General features: G+C 40.6%; 2 annotated features.

The window, feature by feature from the left end:
• Nucleotides 15,066-15,360: a silencer, noted in NCBI's record as "tiled region #8789; HepG2 Repressive non-DNase unmatched - State 24:Quies". NCBI's record gives its function as "represses a minimal TATA promoter and a strong SV40 promoter by Sharpr-MPRA in HepG2 cells {active_cell/tissue: HepG2}" and the evidence as "EXISTENCE:reporter gene assay evidence [ECO:0000049][PMID:27701403]".
• Nucleotides 15,679-16,179: an enhancer, noted in NCBI's record as "H3K27ac hESC enhancer chr4:16943010-16943510 (GRCh37/hg19 assembly coordinates)". NCBI's record gives its function as "activates a minimal SCP1, AML or CMV promoter by ChIP-STARR-seq in primed H9 embryonic stem cells {active_cell/tissue: H9 hESC(primed)}" and the evidence as "EXISTENCE:reporter gene assay evidence [ECO:0000049][PMID:30033119]".

Genomic DNA, 18,512 nt, shown 5'->3' with positions numbered 1-18,512 from the left:
TTTATTGTTCTTTATTCTTCTTTTTACAAAAGTCATGTACATTTATGGAAAAATCAGATGCACCACCAACAACAAAAAGGGTTTTAAGTCACCAACCACCCAACAATAATGTCATGAGCTTGCTATATATATATATATGCTCTTTCTATCTTTCTATGTATATATATAATATATATACATATATGTGTGTGTGTGTGTGTGTGTGTGTGTGTATATATATATATATATATATATATATATCTTTCCAGATTTTTATTTTTCTAAGCATGTAGAAAAGGCATTCTTTTAGCCAAATGAATTAATACTGCACAAAATTCTGTAATGGAGAACTTTTAGAAAATTAACACTTTACAGAAATGGTATGTATTTTCAGCAGGCAGTCATAAATTAAGAATTAAAAAATTTGAATCTCATTGTAAATATTTTGCAGTTGGAAATGGGGCATACTTTTTTATACTACCTTTTATTTAGGATTTGTGTTAACTTCTTGTTAATCTTCTTGAGAATATATATATGACCCCTGAGAATCCCACTGCAGAGCCTCAGGATGAGGTTATATCCCCAACATGATGGCAAGACTTTTGGCTTCTTTAAAACTTGACATACAAACTAGAGAAAGAGCAAATATTTTAAAATATAAGAGCTGGAAGGAAATGTGGAAATCCATTTGGCCCACTTGTGTAACAGACAAAGAAACTGGGAGTCGTGGGTGGCCCATTCAACTCGGCAACACTGGGTACTAATGCTTAAGTTAAAATCCTGTTTCCCTTATTGGGCAAATCACTTAACTTTTCTGAGCTTCAGTTTCATAAACTGGAGTAGAGTTAATACCAGTGCCTACTTCATAGGGCATCATGAGGATGAAATGAGGTAGCACACTTAGAGAGCGAAGCATTATGCATAGCCATTAGAGAGATCCCAGGAAGTTTACTTTTGCCTGTTAGTGTCAGACCTGGGAGTGGGACTCAGGCCTTTATACTCTCAGCCAGGGCTCTTCCCCAACATTAGTCAGGGAGGATTGGGGCAGCAGTATGTGAGGTATAGTCTTCAGAATGGTGTGGTGGCAGGAAAGGAGCAGAGACGGGGCTAGAGCAACTTGAACATACTCACCCCCTGGTATAGTTTGGATGTGCGTCCCCACCAAATGTCATGCTGAAATGTGATCCTCAATGTTGCAGGTGGGGCCTGTGAGGAGGTGGTTGAGTCATAGGGGTAGATCCTTCATGAATGTCTTGGTACTGTCCTCATGATAGTGAGTGAGTTCTCACTCTGAGTTTATGCTAGATCTGGTTGCTTGAAAGAATACAGCACCTCCTCTTCTCTCTTGCTTCATCTCTCATCATGTGATTCCCCTGCTCCCCCTTCACCTTCCACCATGATGGAAATCTTCCTGGAGCCTCACCAGAAGCAGATGCTGGCACCATACTTCCTACACAGCCTGCAGAATCCTGAGCCAAACAAACCTTTTTTCCTTGTAAATTACCCACTTTCAGGTATTCCTTTATAGCAATGCAAATGGCCTAATACACCTCTTCCTTTTCTTTCTTTAAAACTATCACTGCAAAGAGTGAGCAGCTGTGCAGACCATCTTTCTCTTATTACACGAAACTTGAACTATATATAGAAGGTGAGGTTCCTCAATGATAAGTCTTCGAGAACAATGGGGGTGGGCCATCCCCTAGTTCTACAGTTTGATGTTTATTCCCCCAAACTTAATGCTGAAATTCAACTACCAATTTTGAATGTGGGGCCTAATGGGAGGTGTTTGGGTCATTGGCTAAGAAAATTAGTACCAAGGGTTAGGGTGTTACTATAGAGATACACGAAAATGTGGAAGTGGCTTTGGAACTGGCTAATGGGCAGAAGTTGGAAGAGTTTAGAGGGCTCAGGAAAAAGACAGGTAGATTAGGAAAAGTTTGGAACTACTTAGAGATTGGTTAAGTAGTTGTGACCCAAACGCAAGTAGATATATAGACAGTAAAGGCCATGCTGATGAAGTCTGATGGAAATGAAGAACTTATTCGGAAATGAAACAAAAGTCACACTTGTTACATTTAAGCAAAGAACTTGGGTGCATTATGTCCACGCCATAAAAATTTGTGGAAACCCAAACTTAAGAGTGATGACCTAGGATATCTGGTGGGAGTAATTTCTAAGTAGCAAGGCACTCAAGAAGTGGCATGCCTACTTTTGATAGCTTACAATAAGATAATGGCAGTGAAGAAATTACCTAAGTTATAGTTTTAAAAAAGCAGAGTGTAAAAATTTGGAAAATTTGTAGCATTGCCATATGATAGGAAAGGAAAGAGCATTTTCAAAAGAGAAATCCATGTGTGATATGGAGCAACCACTTGCTAGAGAGATTAGTGTGACCAAAAGGGAGTCAGGTGCTAATAGTGAAAACAATGTGAAAAAGACTGTGAAGTCATTCTAGAAGTCTTCTCCCTTTTGGAATGGAAATGTTTACCTAACACCCGTACCACCATTGTATCTTGGAAGTAAATAACTTGGTTTTTTTTACTTGTTTGTAAGTTTTTTACGGATTCATAGCTGCAAGAAACTTGCCTTGAGTCTTAGATGAAACTTTCAACTTCGGACTTTTGAGTTGATGCTGGAAAAGTTAAGACTTTTGAAAATGACTGAGAGAGATGATTGTATTTTCTACTCTCAGAAGAACATGAGTTTTGGAGGACCAGGACTGGAATGCTATAGTTTGGATGTTCATCTCCCCACACCCCATGTTGAAGTTTGACCCCCCAGTGTTGGAGGTGGGGCCTAATGGGAAGTGTTTGGATCGTAGGGAAGATCCCTTATGAATGACATGGTGCTCCTCATAGCAGTGAATGAGTTCTTGCTCACTCATTATTTTTGCTCACTCACTATTAGTTTCCACAAGAACTGGTGCTTAAAAAGAGCCTGGCACCTTTCCTCTCACCCTCTGTTGCCTCCTTTCCTGTCATGTGATCTCTGCATACACCGACTCCCTTTCACCTTCTGCCACAAGTGGAGGCAGCCTGAAGCTTTCACCAGATGCCCAATCTTCCCACCAGCAGAATCATGAGCCAAATAAACCTTTTTTTCTTTATAAATTACCCAGCCTCTGGTATTTCTTTATAGTAGTACAAATGGACTAAGACATCTAGGATGTAGGGGAATGAGATAAAGATGATTTTGGAAGGAAGTCATTGCGAATGTATGGGAACCTATCTGTAAGGTAGGCACTTCCCCTGAAAGAATAGCATTTCCACCTAGACATGGCTAACATTTTTGTAAAATTAACATGAAATGTGAAATGTGTAGTCACTGTGCTTGGCAGTAATGTGTAGATTTCCTCAATATTATGTGAACATTGGAGTTTAATATCAGCTTGCTACTTGAAAGATGCAGAAAACGCAATAAAATTTAGCTTAAAACTGATGACTGAAGAAACAAAGACATAGAACATAAACATAGATGTGTCTGGGTGGAGGAAATATGAACAGCCCTTGTGTGGCTTGAAATACACAGGCACAAACACAAATCCAAGTATACACACACACAAATGTGAGTATGTGTACACACATGCACACAAGCAATAGCATCTTTTAAATTTCCTGGTGATCTGACAGATTAGAGAATTGGTGGTACACTCCTAATGTACGATTTGCTAACCATGTGATCAATTTTATTTGCCAAATATCTTTTAATTATAAGATCCATCATCTCATTTTTATTTTTTTTTTAATGTGAGTGCCACAAAAAAGGAGCTGGGTTTGTAACAACCAGGTCCTGTCTTCTAATTATATTTACTATTAGATTTCAGGAAATTTTAAATATTCTCTGAGTTTGGAGAATTCAAAACATTCAAGCCTCTTGGAAGATTGTGATCTATAACCTTAATTTACTTAAAAGAAATCTCTAATAAGGTCCAATAATTTGTAGCCTGATACTAATTTTTATGCAATGTTGAGATGGCCATTCATCCTTTCCCCAGGGAAGTTCTAGGGGGAAAGGTGCCAGGCTAAATCACAAATGAAATTAGTTTGCAGGCTAGAATGACATTTCTTTTTTTTTTTTTTTTTTTTTTAAGCCATGCTATTCCTCTTCATTTCATTAGCTATTGTTTGGAATAGCATGCTTGGTAATCTCTTGGGGGAGGAGAAAAGAATTTGGAGTTTAAATATAGTTTGGGATCAGTAAAAAGTAGAACATTACTCAATAAAAGGAGGAAAAGGATCCCAAGACTCTTCTTCTGTTTATTAAAGAATTGAGGAGAAGCTGTAAGCAAAGGAAAGAAGAGAAAGACTGAGTTTTTTCTTATCTGGTTTTTAAAAATGCCATCCATGTTTAAACAGTTAAATGTATCTTATATCCTTTGCAGGAATTAATCCATTAGGGCCTTCAGAAATTCTCTTCTTGGGTGTGTTTTCTTGACATATTTGGAATGAGTGCTCGTGCAAATGGAGCATGTATAAGAAAACCTCAAACTGGAGATAACAAAACCAAAAATACAAACCATGCAGCATTAACAGTGTTTCAAACTTCCATGAATCAAGTCTAAAATGAATATAGGAATATATTTACTTTCCTCTTTGCAAGAATGAATAGGCAGGCAAACCCACTTCCTCCTCTACTGGGAGGGGAAGCAAGTCCATTAAATCATATTTTAGGTCCTTTTAAAAGGGTACTTGGAACCTATACCCAGGCTACGAGTGCCACTGTGCTCTTGCTTTAAATGCCCCAATGTGTTTTCGTGTGCTGGGTTCATCCCAGCCTTTCGCAGACGTGCACACACATCTAATCCGGCAGTACAAAGCTGCCGGAGCCCTACCCCCAGGAGGCTCTGAGCTCCTGGCAGAATCTCAGCTTTTCTGAATAAGATGGAAATTTATTAGGAGGAAATTATTCTGGTGTCTTCAGAAATATAACATTCCTGATAAAAATCTTGCTCCTGACAGCAGACTAACGAGATACATTTGTTAGTGGTTTCTGTTCCTGGGAATCAGCGGTGAATGCCCTGCCCTTTTATTGTATCGTTTGAGGGAGATGCATGCAGTGACAAGCATGATTTAAGTTCTGCATTTTACAAACATTGGAATTGTGAAATATTGCCATGTACTCTGCTGAATGTATGCTACGTGCCATAGCCCTGCAGAGGGAAGGAGTGGTGACGCCTGGCACATAGTAGGTGAACAGTAAATTATTGGTCTTCTAAATTTTCATAGTAAATACAGTGCTTGCCTTCAGAAAGCTCATTGCCTGACAGACAGAAAAACAGATCACTTCAGATACTGGTAATTCACTGATGGGGGCTTTGTACGGCCAGATATATAGTTTACTCTCAAGAAAGCCTCTTAGAAAGCTTAGCTCTTATTTATTTCAGAAACTATTGTTACAAGCTTTCTTTTCTAATTTCCTATTTAGTTATACATTAGAAGCAGCAATTAAGAAAAGCTAGAGCTTGCTAAAAGCAGTCGTAAAAGCAGGGACACAGAGGTATACCACTCTGTGAGGGTAAGAAGCTTTGCTCTCTTATACCAGAGAGTAAAGAAGGAGGCAGAAAAATTAGAATAATCTAACCAAAGAATTCAGATACCATAGAAGTTTTGGAGTACTTTGAAATAGAAGTCTACAGCGGTATATCACATCTAAATATGTTAAGGACATTTGAATACACAGGTCCTATTTTATATAGTCACATTTATGACTCTTAATTGCAAAAAAAAAAAAAAACAAAGCTCAAATGTGTTCAGAATGGCCTATTTAATAAAAGAATAAGGAAATATTTGATTCTTTTAAGAAAAATTTAAAAATGATCAAATGTTCAAGTGTTGGCACTTTAAAAGGATATTTCAATATTTGGACAATTTATGGATATGCTTTTCCCATTAGCCACATTACCAGGTAAATTAGATTTCACCGCATTTGAGAGAAAAGTAGATCATTGTCTTAAGCAGAGTTTAGTATATTGTATAATTGTAAAGAAGAAAAAAGATGTGGATTATATTTTGTACTAATTATAGTTAGCAGAACCCTCTACATATTTTGAGTAAAGATGCAAACATATTATTGAATATTTAGGATTATATATTAGTTTCCTGTTACTGCTGTAACACATTAACACAAACTTGGGTGGCTTAACACAGCACAAATGTATCGCCTTCCAGTGCTGGAAGTCAGAAGTCTGAAATCAGTTTCACTGGACAAAAGTCAAGATGCTGGCAGGGCTTGTTCCTTCTGGAGCCTTTGAGGGAAGAATTTGTTTCCTTGCCTTTTTCAGCTTCTAGAGGCTGCCTGCATTCCTTGGCTCATGGCCCCTTCCTGCATCTTCAAAGCCAGCAGCATAGCATCTTCAAATCTCTCTCCATCTCTCCCATGACTTCCATTGTCCCATCATCTTTTCCTGTTCTGTAGTCAACCTCTCTGAGTCTCTCTTATGAGGACACTTGTGATAACATTTATGGCCCACCCAGATAATCCAGGACAACCTCCTCATCTCAAGAGCCTTAATTTCATTACATCTGCAAAGTGGCTCTGCCATATAAGAAAATATTCACAGGGTCCAGGGATTAGGACATGGACATCTTTGATAGCTCAGAGCATAAATAAGTAACTGTGGGCAGGGAAAACACTTCATTCCCATCTGACCTCATGTCTAATATTACTCTGATCTTACTCTGCCCATTATCTCATTTTTTCTGTCTGTGCTTTTAAGGTGGAGAAATGACTCAGTTTGAGTGAGGCGTGTCAAAGAAGAAAGATGCATCCTTGTCTCAGTCCCTCCCACACCTTCAAGGCTGTGTCCCAGGTTGCAGGGTGGGGGAAGCTGGAAGCCACTTGCCTGTGAATGTTCTCTAATAGGACTTCATTTTGTCATTTAGAGCTCTGTTTGCATTACTATTTTGTCATATTTCACCATTGGTTTAGGTCTCAGGTAAAGAAGAGGGGCACTTTTTCAGGAGATCTCCAATAGTACTACATGCTTATTAGTAAAATTAAAATAACAGATATTTTATAAAGTAGACCTCATAATCTTTCCCTTTAAAGTTAACTACTGTGAATCTCATTACTGGGTATATACCCAAAGGAATATAAATCGTTGTGTTATAAAGATACATGCATGCCTATGTTCATTGCAGCGCTATTCACAATAGCAAAGACATGGAATCAACCTAAATGTTCATCAATGATAAATCAGATAAAGAAAATGTGGTGCATATACACCATGGAATACTATGCAGCCATGAAAAGGAATGAGATCATGTCCTTTGCAGGGACATGGAGTTGGAAGTCATTAACATCAGCAAACTAACACAGGAACAGAAGACCAAACACCACATGTTTTTACCATGGTGTTTTTACTACTCTATTATTATATTATCATTATTATTATTTTGAGGCTGAGTCTTGCTCTGTCACCCAGGCTGGAGTGCAGTGGCACGGTCTTGGCTCACTGCAACCTCCGCCTCCCAGGTTCAAGTGATTTTTGTGCCTCAGCCTCCCGAATAGCTGGGATTACAGGCATGTGCCACCACACCCAGCTAATTTTTGTATTTTTAGTAGAGATGGGGTTTTGCCATGTTGGCCAGGCTGGTCTTGAACTCCTGGCCTCAGGTGATCTGTTTGCCTCGATCTCCTGACCTCGTGATCTGCCTGTGTCAGCCTCCCAAAGTGCTGGGATTATAGATATGAGCCACAGTGCCCAGCCTACTCTGTTCTTTTAAGTCTTATTTTCGCCAGGTGTGGTGGCTCACGCCTGTAATCCCAGCACTTTGGGAGGCGGAGGCGGGTGGATCACGAGGTCAGGAGATCGAGACCATCCTGGCTAACATGGTGAAACCCTGTCTCTATTAAAAATACAAAAAATTAGCTGGGCGTGGTGGTGGGCGCCTGTAGTCCCAGCTGCTCAGGAGGCTGAGGCAGGAGAATGGCATGAACCTGGGAGGTGGAGCTTGCAGTGAGCTGAGATCGTGCCTCTGCACTCCAGCCTGGGTGACAGAGTGAGACTCTGTCTCAACAAAACAAACAAACAAAAACTCTTATTTTCAATTCTCCAGCCACGCCAAATGTCACATGCTGAACTGTGCTCCCCAAAATACATATGCTGAATTCCTAAGCCCCAATACCTCAGAATGTGATCTTATTTGGAAATAGGGTCATTGCAGACATAATTAAGATGAGGTCATACCAGAGGAGTGAACCTCTAATCCAGTATTACTGGTGTCCTCATAGAAAAGGGAAATTTGGAGTCAGACATGCAGACAGCGAGAATGCCATGTGAAGATGAAGGCAGAAATTACGTGATGCATCTGCAAGCCAATGAATGCCCAAAATTGCCAGCAAACCACAAGAAGCTAGGGGGAGGCATCAACGAGATTCTTCTTCATAGCTCTCAGAAAGAACCAATCTTGCCCACACCTTGATCTTGAACTTCTAGCCTCCACAACTATAAGACAATAAATTTCTTTTTTTTTTTTTTTTTTTTATTATACTCTAAGTTTTAGGGTACATGTGCACATTGTGCAGGTTAGTTACATATGTATACATGTGCCATGCTGGTGCGCTGCACCCACTAATGTGTCATCTAGCATTAGGTATATCTCCCAATGCTATCCCTCCCCCCTCCCCCGACCCCACCACAGTCCCCAGAGTGTGATATTCCCCTTCCTGTGTCCATGTGATCTCATTGTTCAATTCCCACCTATGAGTGAGAATATGCGGTGTTTGGTTTTTTGTTCTTGCGATAGTTTACTGAGAATGATGGTTTCCAATTTCATCCATGTCCCTACAAAGGATATGAACTCATCATTTTTTATGGCTGCATAGTATTCCATGGTGTATATGTGCCACATTTTCTTAATCCAGTCTATCATTGTTGGACATTTGGGTTGGTTCCAAGTCTTTGCTATTGTGAATAGTGCCGCAATAAACATACGTGTGCATGTGTCTTTATAGCAGCATGATTTATACTCATTTGGGTATATACCCAGTAATGGGATGGCTGGGTCAAATGGTATTTCTAGTTCTAGATCCCTGAGGAATCGCCACACTGACTTCCACAATGGTTGAACTAGTTTACAGTCCCACCAACAGTGTAAAAGTGTTCCTATTTCTCCGCATCCTCTCCAGCACCTGTTGTTTCCTGACTTTTTAATGATTGCCATTCTAACTGGTGTGAGATGATATCTCATAGTGGTTTTGATTTGCATTTCTCTGATGGCCAGTGATGATGAGCATTTCTTCATGTGTTTTTTGGCTGCATAAATGTCTTCTTTTGAGAACTGTCTGTTCATGTCCTTCGCCCACTTTTTGATGGGGTTGTTTGTTTTTTTCTTGTAAATTTGTTTGAGTTCATTGTAGATTCTGGATATTAGCCCTTTGTCAGATGAGTAGGTTGCAAAAATTTTCTCCCATGTTGTAGGTTGCCTGTTCACTCTGATGGTAGTTTCTTTTGCTGTGCAGAAGCTCTTTAGTTTAATTAGATCCCATTTGTCAATTTTGTCTTTTGTTGCCATTGCTTTTGGTGTTTTGGACATGAAGTCCTTGCCCACGCCTATGTCCTGAATGGTAATGCCTAGGTTTTCTTCTAGGGTTTTTATGGTTTTAGGTTTAACGTTTAAATCTTTAATCCATCTTGAATTGATTTTTGTATAAGGTGTAAGGAAGGGATCCAGTTTCAGCTTTCTACATATGGCTAGCCAGTTTTCCCAGCACCATTTATTAAATAGGGAATCCTTTCCCCATTGCTTGTTTTTCTCAGGTTTGTCAAAGATCAGATAGTTGTAGATATGCGGCATTATTTCTGAGGGCTCTGTTCTGTTCCATTGATCTATATCTCTGTTTTTGTACCAGTACCATGCTGTTTTGGTTACTGTAGCCTTGTAGTATAGTTTGAAGTCAGGTAGTGTGATGCCTCCAGGTTTGTTCTTTTGGCTTAGGATTGACTTGGCAATGCGGGCTCTTTTTTGGTTCCATATGAACTTTAAAGTAGTTTTTTCCAATTCTGTGAAGAAAGTCATTGGTAGCTTGATGGGGATGGCATTGAATCTGTAAATTACCTTGGGCAGTATGGCCATTTTCACGATATTGATTCTTCCTACCCATGAGCATGGAATGTTCTTCCATTTATTTGTCTCCTCTTTTATTTCCTTGAGCAGTGGTTTGTAGTTCTCCTTGAAGAGGTCCTTCACATCCCTTGTAAGTTGGATTCCTAGGTATTTTATTCTCTTTGAAGCAATTGTGAATGGGAGTTCACCCATGATTTGGCTCTCTGTTTGTCTGTTGTTGGTGTATAAGAATGCTTGTGATTTTTGTACATTGATTTTGTATCCTGAGACTTTGCTGAAGTTGCTTATCAGCTTAAGGAGATTTTGGGCTGAGACGATGGGGTTTTCTAGATAAACAATCATGTCGTCTGCAAACAGGGACAATTTGACTTCCTCTTTTCCTAATTGAATACCCTTTATTTCCTTCTCCTGCCTGATTGCCCTGGCCAGAACTTCCAACACTATGTTGAATAGGAGCGGTGAGAGAGGGCATCCCTGTCTTGTGCCGGTTTTCAAAGGGAATGCTTCCAGTTTTTGCCCATTCAGTATGATATTGGCTGTGGGTTTGTCATAGATAGCTCTTATTATTTTGAAATACATCCCATCAATACCTAATTTATTGAGAGTTTTTAGCATGAAGGGTTGTTGAATTTTGTCAAAGGCTTTTTCTGCATCTATTGAGATAATCATGTGGTTTTTGTCTTTGGCTCTGTTTATATGCTGGATTACATTTATTGATTTGCGTATATTGAACCAGCCTTGCATCCCAGGGATGAAGCCCACTTGATCATGGTGGATAAGCTTTTTGATGTGCTGCTGGATTCGGTTTGCCAGTATTTTATTGAGGATTTTTGCATCAATGTTCATCAAGGATATTGGTCTAAAATTCTCTTTTTTGGTTGTGTCTCTGCCCGGCTTTGGTATCAGAATGATGCTGGCCTCATTAAATGAGTTAGGGAGGATTCCCTCTTTTTCTATTGATTGGAATAGTTTCAGAAGGAATGGTACCAGTTCCTCCTTGTACCTCTGGTAGAATTCGGCTGTGAATCCATCTGGTCCTGGACTCTTTTTGGTTGGTAAACTATTGATTATTGCCACAATTTCAGAGCCTGTTATTGGTCGATTCAGAGATTCAACTTCTTCCTGGTTTAGTCTTGGGAGAGTGTATGTGTCGAGGAATTTATCCATTTCTTCTAGATTTTCTAGTTTATTTGCGTAGAGGTGTTTGTAGTATTCTCTGATGGTAGTTTGTATTTCTGTGGGATCGGTGGTGATATCCCCTTTATCATTTTTTATTGTGTCTATTTGATTCTTCTCTCTTTTTTTCTTTATTAGTCTTGCTAGCGGTCTATCAATTTTGTTGATCCTTTCAAAAAACCAGCTCCTGGATTCATTGATTTTTTGAAGGGTTTTTTGTGTCTCTATTTCCTTCAGTTCTGCTCTGATTTTAGTTATTTCTTGCCTTCTGCTAGCTTTTGAATGTGTTTGCTCTTGCTTTTCTAGTTCTTTTAATTGTGATGTTAGGGTGTCAATTGTGGATCTTTCCTGCTTTCTCTTGTAGGCATTTAGTGCTATAAATTTCCCTCTACACACTGCTTTGAATGCATCCCAGAGATTCTGGTATGTGGTGTCTTTGTTCTCGTTGGTTTCAAAGAACATCTTTATTTCTGCCTTCATTTCGTTATGTACCCAGTAGTCATTCAGGAGCAGGTTGTTCAGTTTCCATGTAGTTGAGCGGCTTTGAGTGAGATTCTTAATCCTGAGTTCTAGTTTGATTGCACTGTGGTCTGAGAGATAGTTTGTTATAATTTCTGTTCTTTTACATTTGCTGAGGAGAGCTTTACTTCCAACTATGTGGTCAATTTTGGAATAGGTGTGGTGTGGTGCTGAAAAAAATGTATATTCTGTTGATTTGGGGTGGAGAGTTCTGTAGATGTCTATTAGGTCTGCTTGGTGCAGAGCTGAGTTCAATTCCTGGGTATCCTTGTTGACTTTCTGTCTCGTTGATCTGTCTAATGTTGACAGTGGGGTGTTAAAGTCTCCCATTATTAATGTGTGGGAGTCTAAGTCTCTTTGTAGGTCACTGAGAACTTGCTTTATGAATCTGGGTGCTCCTGTATTGGGTGCATAAATATTTAGGATAGTTAGCTCCTCTTGTTGAATTGATCCCTTTACCATTATGTAATGGCCTTCTTTGTCTCTTTTGATCTTTGTTGGTTTAAAGTCTGTTTTATCAGAGACTAGGATTGCAACCCCTGCCTTTTTTTGTTTTCCATTTGCTTGGTAGATCTTCCTCCATCCTTTTATTTTGAGCCTATGTGTGTCTCTGCACGTGAGATGGGTTTCCTGAATACAGCGCACTGATGGGTCTTGACTCTTTATCCAACTTGCCAGTCTGTGTCTTTTAATTGCAGAATTTAGTCCATTTATATTTAAAGTTAATATTGTTATGTGTGAATTTGATCCTGTCATTATGATGTTAGCTGGTGATTTTGCTCATTAGTTGATGCAGTTTCTTCCTAGTCTCGATGGTCTTTACATTTTGGCATGATTTTGCAGCGGCTGGTACCGGTTGTTCCTTTCCATGTTTAGCGCTTCCTTCAGGAGCTCTTTTTTTTTTTTTTTTTTTTTTTTTTTTTTTTTTGAGACGGAGTCTCGCTCTGTCGCCCAGGCCGGATTGCGGACTGCAGTGGCGCAATCTCGGCTCACTGCAAGCTCCGCTTCCCGGGTTCACGCCATTCTCCTGCCTCAGCCTCCCGAGTAGCTGGGACTACAGGCGCCCGCCACCGCGCCCGGCTAATTTTTTGTATTTTTAGTAGAGACGGGGTTTCACCTTGTTAGCCAGGATGGTCTCGATCTCCTGACCTCATGATCCACCCGCCTCGGCCTCCCAAAGTGCTGGGATTACAGCAGGAGCTCTTTTAGGGCAGGCCTGGTGGTGACAAAATCTCTCAACATTTGCTTGTCTATAAAGTATTTTATTTCTCCTTCACTTATGAAGCTTAGTTTGGCTGGATATGAAATTCTGGGTTGAAAATTCTTTTCTTTAAGAATGTTGAATATTGGCCCCCACTCTCTTCTGGCTTGTAGGGTTTCTGCCGAGAGATCCGCTGTTAGTCTGATGGGCTTTCCTTTGAGGGTAACCCGTCCTTTCTCTCTGGCTGCCCTTAACATTTTTTCCTTCATTTCAACTTTGGTGAATCTGACAATTATGTGTCTTGGAGTTGCTCTTCTCGAGGAATATCTTTGTGGCGTTCTCTGTATTTCCTGAATCTGAACGTTGGCCTGCCTTGCTAGATTGGGGAAGTTCTCCTGGATAATATCCTGCAGAGTGTTTTCCAACTTGGTTCCATTCTCCACATCACTTTCAGGTACACCAATCAGACGTAGATTTGGTCTTTTCACATAGTCCCATATTTCTTGGAGGCTTTGCTCATTTCTTTTTATTCTTTTTTCTCTAAACTTCCCTTCTCACTTCATTTCATTCATTTCATCTTCCATTGCTGATACCCTTTCTTCCAGTTGATCGCATCGGCTCCTGAGGCTTCTGCATTCTTCACGTAGTTCTCGAGCCTTGGTTTTCAGCTCCATCAGCTCCTTTAAGCACTTCTCTGTATTGGTTATTCTAGTTATACATTCTTCTAATTTTTTTTCAAAGTTTTCAACTTCTTTGCCTTTGGTTTGAATGTCCTCCCGTAGCTCAGAGTAATTTGATCGTCTGAAGCCTTCTTCTCTCAGCTCGTCAAAATCATTCTCCATCCAGCTTTGTTCTGTTGCTGGTGAGGAACTGCGTTCCTTTGGAGGAGGAGAGGCGCTCTGCGTTTTAGAGTTTCCAATTTTTCTGTTCTGTTTTTTCCCCATCTTTGTGGTTTTATCTACTTTTGGTCTTTGATGATGGTGATGTACAGATGGGTTTTCGGTGTAGATGTCCTTTCTGGTTGTTAGTTTTCCTTCTAACAGACAGGACCCTCAGCTGCAGGTCTGTTGGAATATCCTGCCGTGTGAGGTGTCAGTGTGCCCCTGCTGGGGGGTGCCTCCCAGTTAGGCTGCTCGGGGGTCAGGAGTCAGGGACCCACTTGAGGAGGCAGTCTGCCCGTTCTCAGATCTCCAGCTGCGTGCTGGGAGAACCACTGCTCTCTTCAAAGCTGTCAGACAGGGACAGTTAAGTCTGCAGAGGTTACTGCTGTCTTTTTGTTTGTCTGTGCCCTGCCCCCAGAGGTGGAGCCTACAGAGGCAGGCAGGCCTCCTTGAGCTGTGGTGGGCTCCACCCAGTTCGAGCTTCCGGGCTGCTTTGTTTACCTAAGCAAGCCTGGGCAATGGCGGGCGCCCCTCCCCCAGCCTCGTTGCCGCCTTGCAGTTTGATCTCAGACTGCTGTGCTAGCAATCAGCGAGATTCCGTGGGCGTAGGACCCTCCGAGCCAGGTGTGGGATATAGTCTCGTGGTGCGCCATTTCTTAAGCCGGTCTGAAAAGCGCAATATTCGGGTGGGAGTGACCCGATTTTCCAGGTGCGTCCGTCACCCCTTTCTTTGACTCGGAAAGGGAACTCCCTGACCCCTTGCGCTTCCCAGGTGAGGCAATGCCTCGCCCTGCTTCGGCTCGCGCACGGTGCGCACACACACTGGCCTGCGCCCACTGTCTGGCACTCCCTAGTGAGATGAACCCGGTACCTCAGATGGAAATGCAGAAATCACCGTCTTCTGCGTCGCTCACGCTGGGAGCTGTAGACCGGAGCTGTTCCTATTCGGCCATCTTGGCTCCTCCCTAAAACAGAGATTTATTCGTTTCTTGCCGCTCTTGGAAACACCCAGAGGACACTGGAAACATAGCCACAGGGACATAGAACCAAGCCACAGGCCTGCTCAGCTACAGGACCGCCGCTGGGATCCGCACTTCCGGAGGAAAATGGCCAAGACAATAAATTTCTAAGCCACCCACTTTGCGGTACTTTGCTATGGGAGTCCTATCAAACTAATATACCAGGTTACTCAGAAACTCCTCATTACATCTTGTACCTTTCCTTTTTCTAGTTTTTATTTCTGCTTTCCCCTCTCCTCAGAACACCTTCCCTTCCTTCAGTTCCCCATCTAAGGAAATGCTTCCCATCCCCCAATGGTCTACCTGCCTTAACATTCCACAGCCAGCCTTGTATTTTCAAAGTAAATGCAATAGCAGTGATGCCTGGTAGTCTTGCTTTTAATGACAATGTGGTCATTGATTGGAAAGACATGTGATTAGTAGTTTGGCAGTTGCAGAAGTCGTCTGAGGCCAACACCAAAGCACACTTGTGGCCCTTTCAGGAATAAGCCCATCGTGCCGCTATCTGTCCCAGGCTCACACTGTCCACTGGCCCTGGAAAAGCATGTAGGAGTCTGCCAGGTTGGACGTGACAGAAGGAGATTCCAGCTGCCATAGGTGACTTCCAAATCAATTCTTTCCACAGCTGACTTGAGTGGCACTTTGGGGCATAGCTGCTCAGCTTAAGCAAGTGGGCCCTCAGCCCCAGCAGACCCACTGTACAGCTGGAAAAGGGGGTGCACATTTGCTTCTGCCCTTCATGGATAATTTTAAAGGAAATATCATAGGTTCACTGAATCATAAGGACATTTTACATAAACAGTTTCTAGAAATGATCTGAATTATACCCTCTCCTCTATTCTTTGAGGCAGCCACAAAAGGTTTTTTGCTGGTCTGAAGTCAAACACCACAATCCAGAGGACCCACCATTCCCTAGGTATGAGTGGTCTCTGAGTGGTCTCCCTACTGCTGACCTCTGTGGGCCTGCTTGTGCTTCTCTGTGCCTGAGTCTTAGAGCCCCCTCTACATCCGTGCAGGGTGTACGTCCACCCCCAGACTGTATAGTATAATGCGCCCAGTGATTTATGGGGTCAGACAGCCTGTGTTTGCCTCAGTTTCTTTCTCAGCTGCTCTGCCTAGGAGCTGGGCGACTCTGCGTCCACTAATCAGTCCCTTTCTGCCTCCATTTTCTCATTTGTAAAAGATAATAGGACCTAATTCATGAGACTGTTCTAAGAATTAAGTCAGATAATATGTGCAAACCACTCAGACGATTACCTAGCCCATGAAATAAAATTTTAGCTGTTATTGTTTTTTTATTTTCTATTACCCATAAACTACTTCATAAGATTGGAAGAAATCAAGTAAGATCATATATGTAAAACAGTGCAGGGTCTGATACACATTATGGTAACTGTCATCATTATGTAAAATGATTTGAAGACTGTATATCTTTTTAAGTTTATTTTTATATATAAATTACATATAAATGTATGTATACTCATATATAAATTATTAAAATCTCAATATAATTTGAATGAAATGGTTTGATTGTATATAAGTGATTTATATATAAATTATTTGAAGACTATATATATATTTTAATATTTATCTACTAATTTTTTCAGTCAGCCTTTATTGAGCACCTATTATGTGCTAGGTTTATATTTGTAGTATACAGTTTTTCCAGCGTAGTAGATTGACCACTGGGTTTCTCAATCTTTCCAATCACGATTAGTCCTTTTTTCTCTGATCTCTCCTTGTACCTCAATTTCTTGCATTATATGTGGTTTTATGATCTTCCTTTATGCATCAGAGTAACTCTGAGTAGATCGTAAACTTCTTGAAGGCATGTGAATACATTCTCCTATCCTATCCTAACCAGCTCCACAAAGCCTAGGTCAGTGATCTACTCATGTTAGGGGCTCAGTAAAAGTGTTTTGGATGGAACTAAAGATTTGGTATCAGAGTCTGTCATCAGCCATGTGATTTTTTGAAAGCCACTTCACTGTCACATGTCTCAGTTTCCTCATCTCTGAAACAGATGGTTCAGATAGAGGAGAGATGGGCAAAAGGTGTCATTTGTTCTGCCAAAGCTGATGAATATGTAGTGGCTTCTTGGAGTAGAGGATGCAACTGAGCTATGGACTGGGAAAGAAAAAGGCCATTACCACCCATCAGTAGCTGCCACGGTGAAAGCAGAGGGAAGGGCCAGGGCAACTCTAAGGTGCTGTCTAGAGAGACAATTCTACATTTTTATGTGCTTTGCTTATTAATCACTGTATCCTTTCCCTTTTATTTGACACATACTGAGCATACAGCATTATTCAAATTTTGAAGGAGCTTTTTTTTTTCATCCTTAGTATTCTAAAACTCAAAGGGATTTATAGCCTGTAGAAACTTGTCCATTTAAAACCAGTGACACCAGATGGTCCCCAACAAATATATAATTACTTCTTACTTGAGCTAACAATCCAAGCAATGAACTCCTGAAGAGGTAATTGGGAGACATTTGTGTTTTTGACAATTTTGAAAATGTCTTTTATTTTTTAGCAAATAAATAACTGTGGTATTTTCAGGAATATACTTTTATTGTAGATTCTTTTAAAATGCTCATGATCTAAAAGAAGAATATTAAAAAACACCCATCATTCTACTGCCTCAAGATATTTGCTATTAAAAGTTCACGCTGTCATTTCAGATTTTTTCCTGTTGTTACATGTTGCGTATACATAAGTATATATATTTTAAACTAAAAGAATTATACCATTCTTTCTGTTTTATTATCTTTATGCCATCAATTTATAATGAACATCATTTTATCTTTCTATGTCAATAAACATACATATATTACATTATTTTAAACTTAAATTATTTCATGGTATTATGTTGGGACTTTGGGAGGACCCTCCAAATAGCAACCATTTTTCTTACCTGAGTTCTGAATTATTTGAGAAATGAATATCACCTTCATTCCTGATGATGAAGGTGCAGCAGCTATTAGCTGAAGACTGGTAGACTGACTGATACTGAACCCCAGAATTAGAGAGAATTCCCTCCCCAGCCCCAGGCAGCACTGAACAGGCAAGTGTGGTTCCCGTAGAGAACAAGAACCTCTGCAAGCATCTCATTCCTAAGACATGGGAGGGAGAGACTGGCTAAGCACATCCAGTTGATTGTTCCCAAACTCATCAATGAGAAAAGTCACCCCTGATTTTCTGTGGAAGAGTAAGAAAAGGGATAGAGAGGAATAGAGGTTACTCTAGTGGAGCTCCCTCCATATCAAAGGAAACATCAGAAATACAGAAGCTCCCCACAAGGTATGCATATGCCGTAATTTATACAACCAGCCCTTATGAGACATTTGGCTTGTTTCCAATCATTCCATTATATCACACATTATTTTATCTGGATGTGATTATTGTCCCCCATAGGTACAAAAGGGATGCTCAGTGTTGTCTGGGATCATGTGGTTAGTGTTGGACATACACTTTGAATTCAAGTTCTCCCGACTCTAAAGCTCAATATCCCATCCCTCCAAGGTGAATGAGAGGTTACCTTGGCCAGGGCTTCAGGCAGCTATGGGAAAAGCCTTGATGGCTAAGGTGGGATTTACTGAGTCTTAACTATGGATATAGAACAACTATAGAAACTACCCAAGGATCTAAAACAAATGTGTAATGGTCTGGTG

Source organism: Homo sapiens, chromosome 4 (assembly GCF_000001405.40).
Source record: "Homo sapiens chromosome 4, GRCh38.p14 Primary Assembly".
In the NCBI taxonomy this organism is placed as follows: domain Eukaryota; kingdom Metazoa; phylum Chordata; class Mammalia; order Primates; family Hominidae; genus Homo; species Homo sapiens.
Note: the sequence above shows the minus strand (reverse complement) of the source record. Positions and strands in the feature narration are given on the sequence as shown.